The sequence below is a fragment of the Homo sapiens genome, chromosome 1, assembly GCF_000001405.40.
Source record: "Homo sapiens chromosome 1, GRCh38.p14 Primary Assembly".
NCBI classification, from domain to species: Eukaryota; Metazoa; Chordata; class Mammalia; order Primates; family Hominidae; genus Homo; species Homo sapiens.
In genome coordinates, this window is record NC_000001.11 from 180,485,751 (window position 1) to 180,500,188 (window position 14,438).

General features: G+C 36.3%; 1 protein-coding gene across 7 annotated transcripts in view; it reads right to left on the reverse strand.

Annotated features, from left to right (window-relative positions):
• Positions 1-14,438, reverse strand: part of ACBD6 (acyl-CoA binding domain containing 6) — a 232,925-nt gene that overhangs the window by 216,098 nt on the left and 2,389 nt on the right. For all 7 annotated transcript variants that reach the window (XM_047432083.1, XM_047432080.1, XM_047432082.1 and 4 more), the window contains exons 2-3: positions 9,711-9,775; positions 6,519-6,615 (exon numbers count right to left, since the gene is read on the reverse strand). In XM_047432083.1, coding sequence (XP_047288039.1) covers positions 6,519-6,615; positions 9,711-9,775 — 162 coding nt within the window. The remainder of the gene's footprint in view (positions 1-6,518; positions 6,616-9,710; positions 9,776-14,438) is intronic.

Genomic DNA, 14,438 nt, shown 5'->3' on the forward strand with positions numbered 1-14,438 from the left:
ACGTCTTGTGCCAAGAAGTAAGAAAATGCTCAATGATGGGGATGTATCAAAAAGGACATAGAAGCCATCTTTAAAAAGCTCCAAATAGCCAAATAAATGCTTTTAATGAATTATACCCCACTGAATAAAAGAAAAATCCATGAGTTTATACCAATATAAATACAGGAGCCATCTTGAAGGTACTCCCAGTAGCAAAAAAAAAAAAAATGATTTTAATGGATTTTTATATCCCACTGAATAAAAATCCATGAGTCTAAACTGATATAAATACATGAATGTTGAGAGAGGCAATCTACTATGAGCCCCGAGTGTCCCTACACATTCTTGTTCAATAGACCAGGCCCTGACCATTCTTTACCTGGGCCATTTCTCAGGATTGTGTATGCAGGAAGCCATCTTCAGGGATGAGGTAACGTATCTCTATCCCCTGACAACAATCAGGCTTGCTAAAAAAGTGGTCAATCCCCATAGTTCAGTGCTCCTTCCCTATAGCACAATACACTGCATATGTAAGAATCCAGCTAGGACCACCTGCTGGTCACAGCAGGGACACAAAAAAATCAATGTGAGGGACACAAAAAAATCAATGCAAACCAAATGAAGCTCATACAGTTTGCCATGCCATGGATAATAAAGCCCTTTGGCTCTGACCCAAGAGTCTTATGCTTTCTGCCAGCATCTAAGAAACAGTAACAGGCTAACTTACCAGGTTCCAGGTAGAGTAAAATCTCAGACCTTTCACAGTTCTTGACAACGAATAAATAAATAAATGGGAGGAAAGTTCTCAACAATGAATAAATGGGCAGAAAGGGAAAGTCCATCCTTACAGTGGAATGCTAAATAATAAATGAAGACAAAATTATGGAGTTAAAAAATAATTCACAAATATTAAAACTAGTGGGTGAAATCTGACTAGGAAAAGGATATTTACATAGTCTCAAACTGTTTCCCCACAAAGTACTCATTAATTAATTACAAAAGGAATTAACTTCCCATTAATTACAAAGGGAAAAATAGGAACTTCATAGTAAAGAAGTCTGGCAGACACCACCTTACCCAAGTGATCAAAGTTAACATCCCAATATTGGGACAAACAGATATCATGTACCTCCTGGTCTGATGCATTGAGGAGGACAAAATTGTGTGGTATTCTTCTTGAAAATGTATAATCTAAATCTAATTATAAGGAAACACCAGGCAAACCCAAAATAAGGGACATTCTACAAAACAACTGGTCTGTAATCTGCAAAAGTATCATGGGCAAGAAAGGGAAAAAAAAATGGCTGAGAAACTGCTCCATTAGAGGAGACTAAAGATACATGACAACTAAATACGATGCATGACCCTGCGTTAGAAGATGGATCAGCATTTGAAGAATAATTATGAAGGGCATTATTAAGGACATTATCATTATAATGATAAATTTGAATATGGACTACAGACTTGAAAATACTAAATCAATGTTAAAATTGCTGATTTTGATCATTATAGTATACTTATACAGTAGCCCTCCTTTATCCACAGTTTCACTTTCCACCATTGCAGTTACCCACTGCCAACCCAAAATATTAAATGGAAAATTCGAGAAATAAACCATTCCTAAGTTTTAAACTGTGCACCATTCTGGGCAGTGTGATGAAATTTCACACCATCTCACGCCCTCCACTCCAACCCACTGCATCCCGCCTAGAACACAAATCATCCTTTTGTCTAGCCAGTATAGTCGCACTGTATATGCTACCTGCCCATTAGTCACTTAGTTCCCTTCAAGGTTATCAGATCGACTGTCGACTGCTGCAGTACCATGTTTGTGTTCAAGTAACCATTATTTTACTTAATAATGGCCCCAAAGTACAAGAGTTGTGATAATGGCAATTCAGTGTGCCAAAGAGAAGCCATAAATTGCTTCCTTTAGGTGAAAAGGTAAAAGTTCTCAACTTAAGGAAAGAAAAAAATCATATGCTGAGGTTACTAAGGTCTATAGTAAGAACAAATCTTCTACCCAAGAAATTGTGAAGAAAAAAAAACTTGTGCTAGTTTTCCTGTCACACCTTAAACTACAAAAGTTACAGCCATAATGCAACAAAAGTACTCAGTATAGAAGACAAAAACATTTACTTTGTGGATTGAAGACATGCACAGAAATGTTTTCCAACTGATAGCAATCAGGTTAGTACTAGCCACAGTTTCAGGTACTCACTGGGGGTCTTGGAACGTATCCCCTGATAAGGAGGGACCACTGCATAAGAAAAGGTTCTTTTTCTTAGGAAAAAAATCCTGAACCAGTGATAAAGGAACATGATGTCTCCAACTTATCTCAAACAATTCGGAAAAAATGTATTTGTGTGTGTGTTGTGTGTGTGTGTGTGTTACATACATGTGTGTCTATGTGTAAAGAAAGAGAATGATAAAGCAAATATAACCAGCAGTGAATCTGGATAAAGGCCTTACAGAAGTTCCTTATATTATTCGAAACTGTAAAAACAAAACAAAAAAAAACTTATCCTCCCCCCAAAACAAAGGCAAAATAATTGCCTTAATTATAGTAGACATTGAACAACATATTCTTGAGATAAGATGAAACACATAACAGAAAACATAGTTATTTTTAAAGATGAATTTTAAAGCATTGTTTTATACCTCAAGGTACCACAGAGCTTTGACAAAAATAGCTGCCTTGAATTTTTTACACGTATACATACACTTAAGTTTATACCTTATAGATATATTTCCAATATCAGCTGTAGAACAGATAGCAGAGTGGTTAACAACAGGGCTCTGGACTCATATAAATATAGGTCTAAATCCAGTGCCATCTTTTGTTAGTTGGCTTTTTTTTTTTGAGATGGGGTCTCACTCTGTCACCCAGACTGGAGTGCAGTGGTGCAATCATAGCTGACTGCAACCCTGAACTCCTACGTTCAATGGATTCTCCCACCTCAGTCTCCCAGGTAGCTGAGACTACAGGGCACACCACCATGCCTGGCTAATTTTTTTGTTCTTTTTTTAAAATAGAGATGGGGTCTTGCTTTGTTGCCCAGGCTGCTCTCAAACTCCTGGCCTCAAGTGATCCTCCTGCCTCAGCCTCCCAAATTATAGGAATTACAGGAGTGAGCCACCACACCTGGCCTTAGCTGGCTAATTTTAGGCAAGTTACTAAATCTGTCTGTGTCTGAATTTCCTCGTTTTTGAAATGCAGATTATAGTAGTTTCTAACTGTGAAGACTTTTTGTGAAGATATCAAAAGACAATACATGTAAAGAACTCAGCACATTCAGGCCAGGTGCAGTGGCTCATGCTAGCTATTCAGGAGGCTGAGGCAGAAGAATTGTTTGAACCTGGGAGGCGGAGGGTGCAGTAAGCTGAGATTGTGCCACTGCACTCCAGCCTGGGTGACAGAGAGAGACTCCATCTCAAAAAAATAAAAAAAAACTCAGCACATTCAGAATGAGTGTTGTTCTTATTTTATTTTATTTTTTAGAATATCAAAAGAAAATTATTATTTAACCTAAAAGATAATGAACTAAATGCCAAATCTCTTCTGAGATGGAGGTTATGATCTGCCTCCTAACAGTTTAAAAGTAAAGACAAAAAAAAAAGCTATGAGTCAAAGGGGACCAGCTCAGTGTTTAAACTAAAAACTAAAATGTAAATAAAAAATAAAATTCCTCCTTACAACTGGATTCCAATGTTAAAATACTTTTAGAATAGTATGTTATATATTCTTTTAATGTTATTTAATGTATTAAATATATTAATTTTTTAAAGTTTATTATTTAATGTATTAAATAATTAATTAAAGAATATGAAAGTGCCTTTGGTTCTGCTTGGTTTACTCAAGTGTATGTTCAATAGGTTAGATTTAGACATTTTTAAAAACCATCCTCAACACCTGTTTGGAATCTGCAAGTCGTTTTTTTTTTTGAGATGGAGTCTTGCTCTGTCGCCCAGGCTGGAGTGCAATGGCACAACCTCGGCTCACTGCAACCTCTGCCTCCCGGGTTCAAGCGATTCTCCTGCCTCAGGCTCCCGCATAGCTGGGACTACAGGCACTTGCCACCATTGCTGGCTAATTTTTGCATTTTTTTAGTAGAGACGGGATTTCACCATGTTGGTCAGGCTGGACTCGAACTCCTGACCTCAGGTGATCCACCCGCCTCAGCCTCCCAAAGTGTTGGGATTACAGGCGTGAGCCACTGTGCTTGGCCTGCAAGCATTTTAAGAGTAATAGTTAACAAAATTTTACTAAAGTACTGAAGGTAAGAAATCATAAATTCTGTCTTTTATCAGAATTTATAAACTAAAATGCCTTCATAGGCCAAGCATCACCAATAGTGTAGTATAAATCAACAGGGAAGGATGAGAACACAGTGACTGGACCTGAAAAATACTCTGCCTAAAGGCACTCACATTCAAGTTTTGTTTCATTTCTAAACATTGTGCAACAGTTGTTCAGGCTGAGTTCAGCTCAGGGGGCACCTGTTTTGAGCACTGATTTTCAGATTTTAAGCCCTCAGAACCTTGAGAAACATATTTGTATGCATATTTGGTGTCTTATAAAAGATAATAAAATAGAAAATTTCTGAAAATGAAGACTCATGCACATCAGAAACATAAGGAAATTTCTCATGCCTATAATCCCAGCACTTTGGGAGGCCGAAGCGGGTGGATCACATGAGATCAGGAGTTCAAGATCAGCCTGGCCAACATGGCAAAACCCTATCTCTACAAAAAAAAAAAAGAGGCCAGGCGCAGTGGCTCACCCCTGTAATCCCAGCACTTTGGGAGGCCGAGGCGGGCAGATCACGAGGTCAGGAGATCGAGACCAACTTGGCTAACACGGTGAAACCCCGTCTCTACTAAAGATAAAAATAAAAATAAAAAAATTAACCGGGTGTGGTGGTGGACGCCTGTAGTCCCAGCTACTCAGGCGGCTGAGGCAGGAGAATGGCGGGAACCCAGGAGGCAGAGCTTACAGTGAGCCGAGATTGCGCCACTGCACTCCAGCCTGGGCGACAGAGTGAGACTCTGTCTCAAAAAAAAAAAAAAAGAAAAAAAATTTAAAAATTAGCCAGGTGTAGTGGTGTGCACCTATAGTCCCAGAGGCTGAAGTGGGAGAATCACTTGAACCTGGGAGGTGGAGGTTACGTTGAGCCAAGATCCTACTACTGTGCTCCAGTCTGAGTGATAGAGTGAGACTCTGTCTCATATAAAAAAAAAAAAAAAAAAAAAGGACATTTTTCAATGACTTCTAAAAGGCAGTCATATCATTAAAGATATCCAAAGTTGGTTATCACTCCCACTTTGTACTCTTAAGATACATTTTTAATATGTCATAATATATAATCTTTTAAAGTTCCTAACAAGTCTGAGATTTTTAAGATTCCATGATTAATGGAACAAATTCCTTCATACCAGTAACAACTATGTACACATGAAATTATGTAATTATTACAAAAACACTGAAAATTGTTTAATTCATTAACTGCTAAAATGTTTGGCCTTAATATTTTTATTGAAAAAAATTCAATTTGCATTTTTTACATGGTACAATGCAACCTCTATCTCACTGAAATACCTGTTAATCATTTAACAATATTCTTAAATAGTAACCTCACCTTTATTAAATTCTTTCTAGATGTTCTCCAATAAGTATATGAGAAAAACAGGGTATATTTAAGTGAACAATATCCAATGCTTCCAAAGTCCAAAGCAATCCCTTTTCCTGCTGGATTCCCTAGCATTTACATTATTATTGTTTTATACTATTAAAGATATATATTTTGATATGTTTTATCTTCTCTATTACACTTTAAACTACATAATGGCAGAAATCATGTCTTATTCATCTTTTATCCCTAATAAGCATTTTGCCCTTGCATAGAAAGTGATCATAAAAACGAAATCCAAGAGTAACCTTTTTTCCAGCATGATAATCTCAAGTTAAACTCTTTCCAATTCTTATGTAATTCAAATTTTTCTGCTTTCAAAAACTCTGCAACTCAGAGAAGTTCTCAGCATCAGTAGCTGGTTATATTACTATTTAAGTAATTATTATTAATTTTTTTCATTTTTCTGAGATGGAGTCTCACACTGTCACCCAGGCTGGAGTGCAGTGGCCTGATTTTGGCTCACTGCAGCCTCAGCCTCCCAGGTTCAATTGATTCCCCTGCCTCAGCTTCCTGAGTAGCTGGGATTACAGGTGTGTACCACCACGTCCAGCTAATTTTTGTATTTTTAGTAGAGATGAGATTTCACCATGCTGGCCAGGCCGGTCTTGAACTCTTACCTCAGGTGAACCACCTGGCTTGGCCTCCCAGAGTGCTGGGATTACAGGTATGAGCCACCACACCTGGCCAGCAATTATTTTATTAGATAAATATTACAATAACTTTAAAATATTTCAAGAAAGTAAAACTTTAAGCATGTTACTTAAAACTAAGTTTAGTTTTAGACATTTATTTCAGAGAAGGATCATAAGTTTTTGGAAAGTATTATTTATAATCATTAAGTCTTACCTGAGGATTCCAACCTGGATCTAGTTTTTTAACTACTGCGATATATTCCTGCATTGCTTGGCTGGGGCTTGAATCACCAAGTGCTTTCCAAGCTTCCCTACAATATGGAATATCCAAAATGGCCTGTCATTATGCAAATAACACAAACAGCATTTTTCTTATTATTAAAAAAACTGTATGCACATTTCAAGGGTCTCTGAATATAGAGATAATAAGCTATGGATAGAGAAGCTCTGTCTTTTTGCATTTACATTGGTCTAGAGCTATACAGACCTTATTGCCCTACCTAAGCAGTCTTTTCAGACATTTTTTTTCCTAATCGTCCTCCCCGTGAAATTTTAAAAACACAGATACAATGCATAGCTATTAAATTTTGAAAGACCACAAACCACTGTAATCTAAGATTTTATAATTTCCTCAAACAAAATTTCACCCCTATTGAGGATATATGATCTACAGACTAATAGAGATTATTCTCATAAATTAACTGTGCTTATGGCATTTTGGTCGTACAGAAACTAATCATCACATAAAAAACAATATTCCCAAGGAAAATGCATCAAACTTCTTACTAAGATACAAGAAATCCACCTTCCCTTTCTGCTGTTATCTCATCTATAAGCTTCTAGTAACTGATCCTGGGGACTTAGTCTGGGACTTCAAAAGTAAGGGATGGTGAGGGCAGAAATAAGAATACTGGCCAGGCTTGGTGGCTCACGCCTGTAATCCCAGCACTTTGGGAGGCTGAGGCAGGTGGACCACCTGAGGTCAGGAGTTTGAGACCAGCCTGGCCAACATGGTGAAACCCCATCTCTACTAAAGATACAAAAATTAGCCAGGCGTGGTGGTGTGCGCCTGTAGTCCAGCTACTCTGGAGGCCGAGGCAGGAGAATTGCTTGAACCTGGGAGGCAGAGGTTGCAGTAAGCTGAGATGGCACCACCACACTCCAGCCTGGGCAACAGAGCAAAATTCTGTCTCAAAAAAAAAAAAAAAAAAAAAAAAAAAAAAACAACAACAGCAACTAAAGAATACTAATGAGTAAGTTAGGGACTTCCTACAATATAAATGGCAAAAGCAACATTTTAGTCCTGAGCTTCCTTTTGGGTCATCTACCCCCCTGCCCCCACAACAGGCTGCCAGGACAGGCCTTCTTCTTGGTTTTTCCCTGCCAATTCTTTCTAAATTCCAACCAGTGTTTCTCGATTTCCCTGATTTGCTGTCAAACAGAACTCAATCCCACATTTTTTCACTACCTTCCTGCTTCTATGATGAATATAATATCTTTCTGAGGTTTTCTAAATTTATTTTCACTGAATTCCTTAAGAATTACTTATACGCATCATAACACTTCATCCCTAAATAGATCAGCTTACACAAACTCAGGAAATTTATCATCAATTACTATTATACAATATAGAGGCTATACATTCAGATTTTCCTGATTGTCCCAATAATGTCCTTTATGGCTTTCTTCTCCCACACCAGGAACCAATCAAGATCCACACACAGCATTGAGTTTCATGTATCTTCAGCTTTTTTGTCTTCCACATTGTTGGTATTTTTTAAGAGTCCAACTGTTTTATAACATATCCCTCAATTTGAATTTGTCTAATTGTTTCCTTACCTACAGTGTTCTTGCCAAAAATGATTAATCATGATTAGAATTGGGTTAAATTATTTCAGCAGAGTAATATATAGGTGACATGCCCTTTTCAATGCATCACACTGGGGGCACGTGATGTTAGTCTGTCCCATCATCAATAAGATTCATGGTTTGGTAACGGCAGTAACTGTCAGGTTTCTCTCTCATAATTAAAAAGTAAATGGTGGGTCAGCCTGTAACCCACGGTTTTGCTCCCCAATAGTTTTTCACCTAGCATTTTAACAAAAATTTTCCTCAATAGTTTTTCTCTAACAGTTCCCCAATATTTTATCATCTAATATTTAATCATTCGTTGATGTTCTTGCATAAACTATTATTATGGTGGCTATAAAATCTAAATTTTTTAATTGCTAAAAACAATGGAGAAACAGGCAAAGCACAGAAAAAAATAAAGGTATAAAATTTCATAAATTATAACAAAAAACTCACTGTCAACGTTAACATCAGGTATTCTTTAGAACAGTAATAATATGTTGGCTGGTTATCATCAACCAAAAAACTTGTGCAAGAATATAATCAATGCACTGCTTCCTTCACTGAGACTGTCCTATACAAAAAAAAATCAGCTGAACTAAACAGCGTGGTTAGTGACATACGTGATTTATATCTGGGTTCAAGCTCTGTATCTCCTAACAGTTGGGTAACAAACAGTTGGCAGGCAGGAAATGTATCCAGGGGACCAGATTTTATGTGGGACTGCTCTAGAATGTAAAGTAAGAACCCATATTTTATCACTTCCTCTCTCTATAACCATATTTTATCTTTTTTCTTTTCTAACTCTACCTTCTAACCTTAATTCCAGGGCTGATGCTCCAAAGCCTTCCCTTCTATAACTAAGATTCCCAGTTGTATGCAATTTCTCTTCTTTCACTTAGACAAGGTAAGAGAAGATAAGGTCTCATAAATGACAAGGGGGAACTTCTGAATTATAAGTTAAAAAAGTTTGCAAAAGTATACTCTTTTTTTTATATATTCAGAGAAAAAGAGAAGTTAGTATCTGGTTTTGGCTTTTCACTGAATTTTTCCCTTCTTCCCAAGAGTACTATAAGCAGTTATTTACTGTGGCATGGGTGGGGCAAGGAACACAAGAGTAAGTAGCAAGAGACAGGGAGATAAAACTGGGACAAGGAAGATGGGTGAAAAATGGGGATTTATCCTGCTCTTCTGCCCTTCCCATCATTCTGGCCTTCTTCCAAAAATCCCTCCAGAGGGGAGAAGTGGTGATCCATTAGGGGTTGAATGACAGGAAAGGAAAATCTCAAGCAATAGCTCTCATGGTATTAAAATGTAAGGCATGTATGTCTGTTGTGAACCACTTATATTCCAACATGCTAGCATAAGAATCCTTCAGGAGACTTAGCTAAAAGTAGATTTCTTTAATCTCTCCCAATTGCCTGTCATTAGTACAATCTACAGCAGAGAGAGAGATTAATATAAAAATAATTCTTTAATCAGCTCACTGCTTTCTAATTCCTAAACACCTAAGCCATTTCCAACAACCTCATTAAAGATTCCAGGAATTTCTTACCATTTTTGCTTTCCTTCAAAATCAAAGAAGCTTGGTTTAGGAGTATTACAATTTCCAACTTTGACCTAAATGAGGGAAGGAAAATCAAGAACTTATTTTTCAAAGAAATGTCTGGGAAACTTTTCCTTTTCAAATGTATTATGTATATTCAGTAACCATAGGTTGGAAAATATTTGCATCTATATGGAATAGCAAAATTTAACATTCTTTGCCAAAGCAAACAAAAACAATCAAACAGAATCAAACATTACATACAGCCTACTTTGGCTTACTGCATAAAACAACTATTATCTAATACTGTAATACAGAAAAACTGTGATAAACGGTTGCACTTCGAAGTTAGTAGACTATATATAAGACAAGTTATCAATATAGATTAAATACTCTTTATTACCATGTATAAAGTAAAAGAATTTTTAATATGAAATTAATAAGGTTTAGAATTCATAATTTATCAGAATTCATAACACTGTTTCTTCATGCTGATTCTCATAACGCTATTAGCATTTTAACTCTCCAAAATTCCAGGGAAAACAGTGTACTACTTTTAAAGTACCCTATTATGAAATTCATCAATATAAATTTGGATGCCAAAAGCCATGCAAAAAATTTCATGGGTTCTCAAAAATACAATTCCGTTTTTCTACAATAGTCTTATCATCTTTTGTTTGAGGTCAATACTTAATTTTAATCCTCAACCGACATTTGTAGTTAAACTGCACAGTGAAATTTTCATTAAGAATAAGCATAAATGAAATTCACACAAGTGCAGAATTCACTATACAGGCCCTGATTCCCACTGCCAGAAGTCATCTTCCTTCCTTATGAACTCTTAGAGCATTTACTCTATATATCTTTTATGGTACTTTTCACTTTTTCTACCATGTGTTTAGAAAGTTTTGTGTAAAGTCTCATCTTTCTATTAGAATAGAGCCTGTAACTGTTCTTAACTCATCCACAGAACCTATCTACTTCTCAGGGATTTTCCCACTGTTTCCCATTACTCTAACTGATGCCTTCATCTAACCAGAATGATCTACTGACTGCCTTAGGTATTCCTAGTTCAGGGTTTTGCTTGTTACTCCACTCACCTGAAATGCCTTTTCTTCTTTCCTCAGCTTTTCAAGATGCTGCACGACCTTCCAGTTCTACTCAAATTTCAGATTCTAAGAACCCTTTCAGTCTACAATGATCTCATCTACCTCTGAATTCATAACAATTACCACCTCTATCATTTGCTTAGCGATTAATTGCATGGCCCTATGCTGTTATTAAAATGTATACTTACATAGAAGCAGCCCTGTTATGATGGAATAGAGAGAAGAAAGGGTGAAAAAGAAGGAGCCACATTTCTTGAACAATCACGATAGACCAAACACTTCACATATTTTATCTCAAATGGGCCAAAAAAAAAATCCTGCTAGGTATGCCATCACAAACTCATTTTATAAATGAAGAGAGAAGCTCAGGAGGGTTGTCTCAGTTCACACATTAGTATATCCTGAATTAGTAGTCCGGATTTAAATCAAAGAGTGTTTGACTCCAAAGCTCAATATCCCTTTACTACATCATTCTGTCTTAAATGCTAAATAGAGTCTGGGCTTCAATTCTGGACTCTCTAAAATCACATGAACTACCAGACTGTTAGAAATAATAAATGAGATAAATTATACAAACTTTAAGACATAAAAATAGCAATTATAACTATTTTTGTTTTTTATCCAGACACTATCCAGTGGCAGAAACAAATGCCAATAGTTCTCCATTTCTCCTATAGTAACAGAAGTCTCAGCTGGACACATGATCATCCGGCTAAACATTATACATGGCCATCCAACTTCTGCCTAGGTTCTGGGGACTGGATGTGTGGAAAAGTGATACAAATACCTTCCTTAAAAAGAAAAGGAGCTTGTCTTCCCCTTTCCCTTTGCTCTGGATAGGATATACATGTGGTGATGGTAAGCCACCTCTGACCATGAAAAAGGAACTTAGGGCAGCAGTTTTCAATTTTTTTAGTCTTGTAATCCCTTTATACTCTCAGAAATTAAGGATCTTAAAGAGCCATCATTTATATGGGTTATATCTATCGATATTTACCACATTAGAAATTAAAACTGGGACATTTAAAAAATGTGTATTAATTCATTTAAAAATAATAAACCCATTAGATGTTAACATAAATAACATTTCATGCAAAATAACTACATATTCTAAAAAAAATTAGTGAGAAAAGTAGCACTGTTTTACATTTTTTAATTTTTTTAATGTCTCGCTTAGTAGAAGCCAGTTGCATTTGCATATCTAATGCTGCATCCAGTCTACTGCAATATGTTGTTTTGGTTGAAGTATATGAAGAAAATTCGGCTTCACGCAGATATGTTGTTAGAAAGAGAGAGAAGTATTTTAGCAGCATTTTCAGATAATTGTAGATATTCTTCTTTGATACTATGCCAAAACCTAACAGATGGTAGTTTAAGGTCAGTTGCAACGAGGAATCTGAACTCATATCAATGAATTTTTCATACTGTTAACACTGAAATCCATTGGTCTGACTTGCACTTTGAAAGGCATCTTTTACCAACACATAATTTGTAACATCATTCCATGAAATATTTAGAAAATATGGTTTACTGAGTTACACAGACTTTTCAAATGTTGACACATTTCATGATATAACAGCAAACGTTCACATTCATGACTGTCACCACTTATCTCATCAAAAAAAGTTTTTAAGTACTGGGAAGCTGTCAAGCTCATGGTGGCAGATATAGATTTTCCAAATTTCTCATTTTCACTTGAAGGTTCAAATGTTATTACTGGCAACAAACACTTTGAGTTGTTTTCCTTGAAGTGACAGGCTTATTTCGTTCATTTTTAAGAAACTACCTGCCAAATACCCAAATTTGAGTAGGTATAATTATCTGTGAGTTGTTCTGTTAAGTAAAATTGGAAAAGAATATAGTTCATTTTGCGACTCAGAAATTACACAAGTGCTTTTCCTCAAAATAGTTAACATAATTCAGTATGCAGCAGAAGTACTTTGTGTGTACTTCCCATCTCATCACACAAAATGTAAGACTTGACTCAAGGGTTAATATTTAATAAAGTAGTATTAAGGCACGGTGGCTCATGCCTGTAATCCCAGCACTTTGGGAGGCCAAGGCAGGTGGATCACCTGAGATCAGGAGACCAGCCTGGTCAACCATGGCCAACATGGTGAAACCCCATCTCTACTAAAAATACAAAAATCAATCAGGTGCGGTGGCAGACACCTGTAATCACAGCTACTCGGGAAGCTGAGGCAAGAGAATAGCTTGAACCTAGGAGGCGGAGGTTGTAGTGAGCCCAGATTACGCCACTGCATTCCAGCCTGGATGACAGAGCAAAACTGTCTCAAAAAAAAAAAAAAAAGTATTATTAAACAGTATCTTATGAAGTCAACAGGAATTCACAAATTTTCATTACTCTCCAGTTTTCACAGCTGTCAATTAGCTATCTTTAGGAGGGAGAGTGTAGGCTGATGTAAAGAAGGACCAAAAAATTGTTCATTCGATTTTGTTAAAACTTTATTAAAAGATTATTCTGAAGCCATAGGCTTATCTGAGACTAATAAAGCTATGATGCTAAGTTTAGAGTTCTCCCTGAGAAAATAAGGTTCATATTTCAGCTTATTTTTATTATCTTCCTGCCAACAACCTCATCCAGCCTACAAAATAGGGTGCTATTCTGAATACAAAACGTTATTTTATAAATTTTGATCCAATATGCAGAAATGATATTGGACTTCCAACTTTATTATTCTATCAAAGATGCTATTCTTAACACTATCTCACAATTTTGTCAAAAATATTTAGGAGATTGATGAAAACTGCGGCCCAGTGTCATATATAAGTAAGCATATTATTCTCTAACAATGCAGAATTTTATTTTCAGATACAGAATATCTCTAAACACCATAAAGTCAAGTTCTTGAAAGGATGAGGGACATCCCTCCTTCATATTATCTGGATGAAGTGAGTATACCTGAGACAAAATGGTTCCCAAGTCGATAGGTGACTACAGTTCACTGATGACTTAGAAATATAGTATTTTAATAATGACACCAATATCAATAAACAAAGATATGTCCTAGAACGAAAAATAATATTTTCTAGGGAATTTGGGGAAAATTAGTCTCATACTGCCCAGAGAATCATCAGACATATTACAGGTCCTAAAATATGATTCTCAGTAAATATTTGTTAAATAATCAAAAGTTTCACTCTAATGTTATTAGGACAAAGTATAACAAATGACCAAAGAGAAAACAGATATCTACAACTTTTCCAAGAAAGCTAATTCCAAGGCCAATTTGGAGGTAATTTTCATTCGACACTATAATTTATACCATTTGTTCCTACAGCTTTCTCTCTCAGGTCACATTAACTGATATTCATAATAATGACCATCAACCTTCAAAACAAGGTTCATTTTTACTCAGTACATCCAGTTTAAGAACACAGTGGGGCTGGGCATGCGGGATCATGTCTGTAATAACAGTACTTCAGGAGGCGTAAGCAGGAGGATCGCTTGAAGCCAGAAGCTTCAAGGCTGCAGTGAGCTATGAGTGTGTAACTGCCCTCCAGCCTGAGCAACGAAACAAGATCCTGTCTCTAAAAAAACTTTTTTAGTTAAAAAAAAAAAAAAAAGAACACAGCAGGACCTCTCCCCCAACTTATTTTTCCTTTA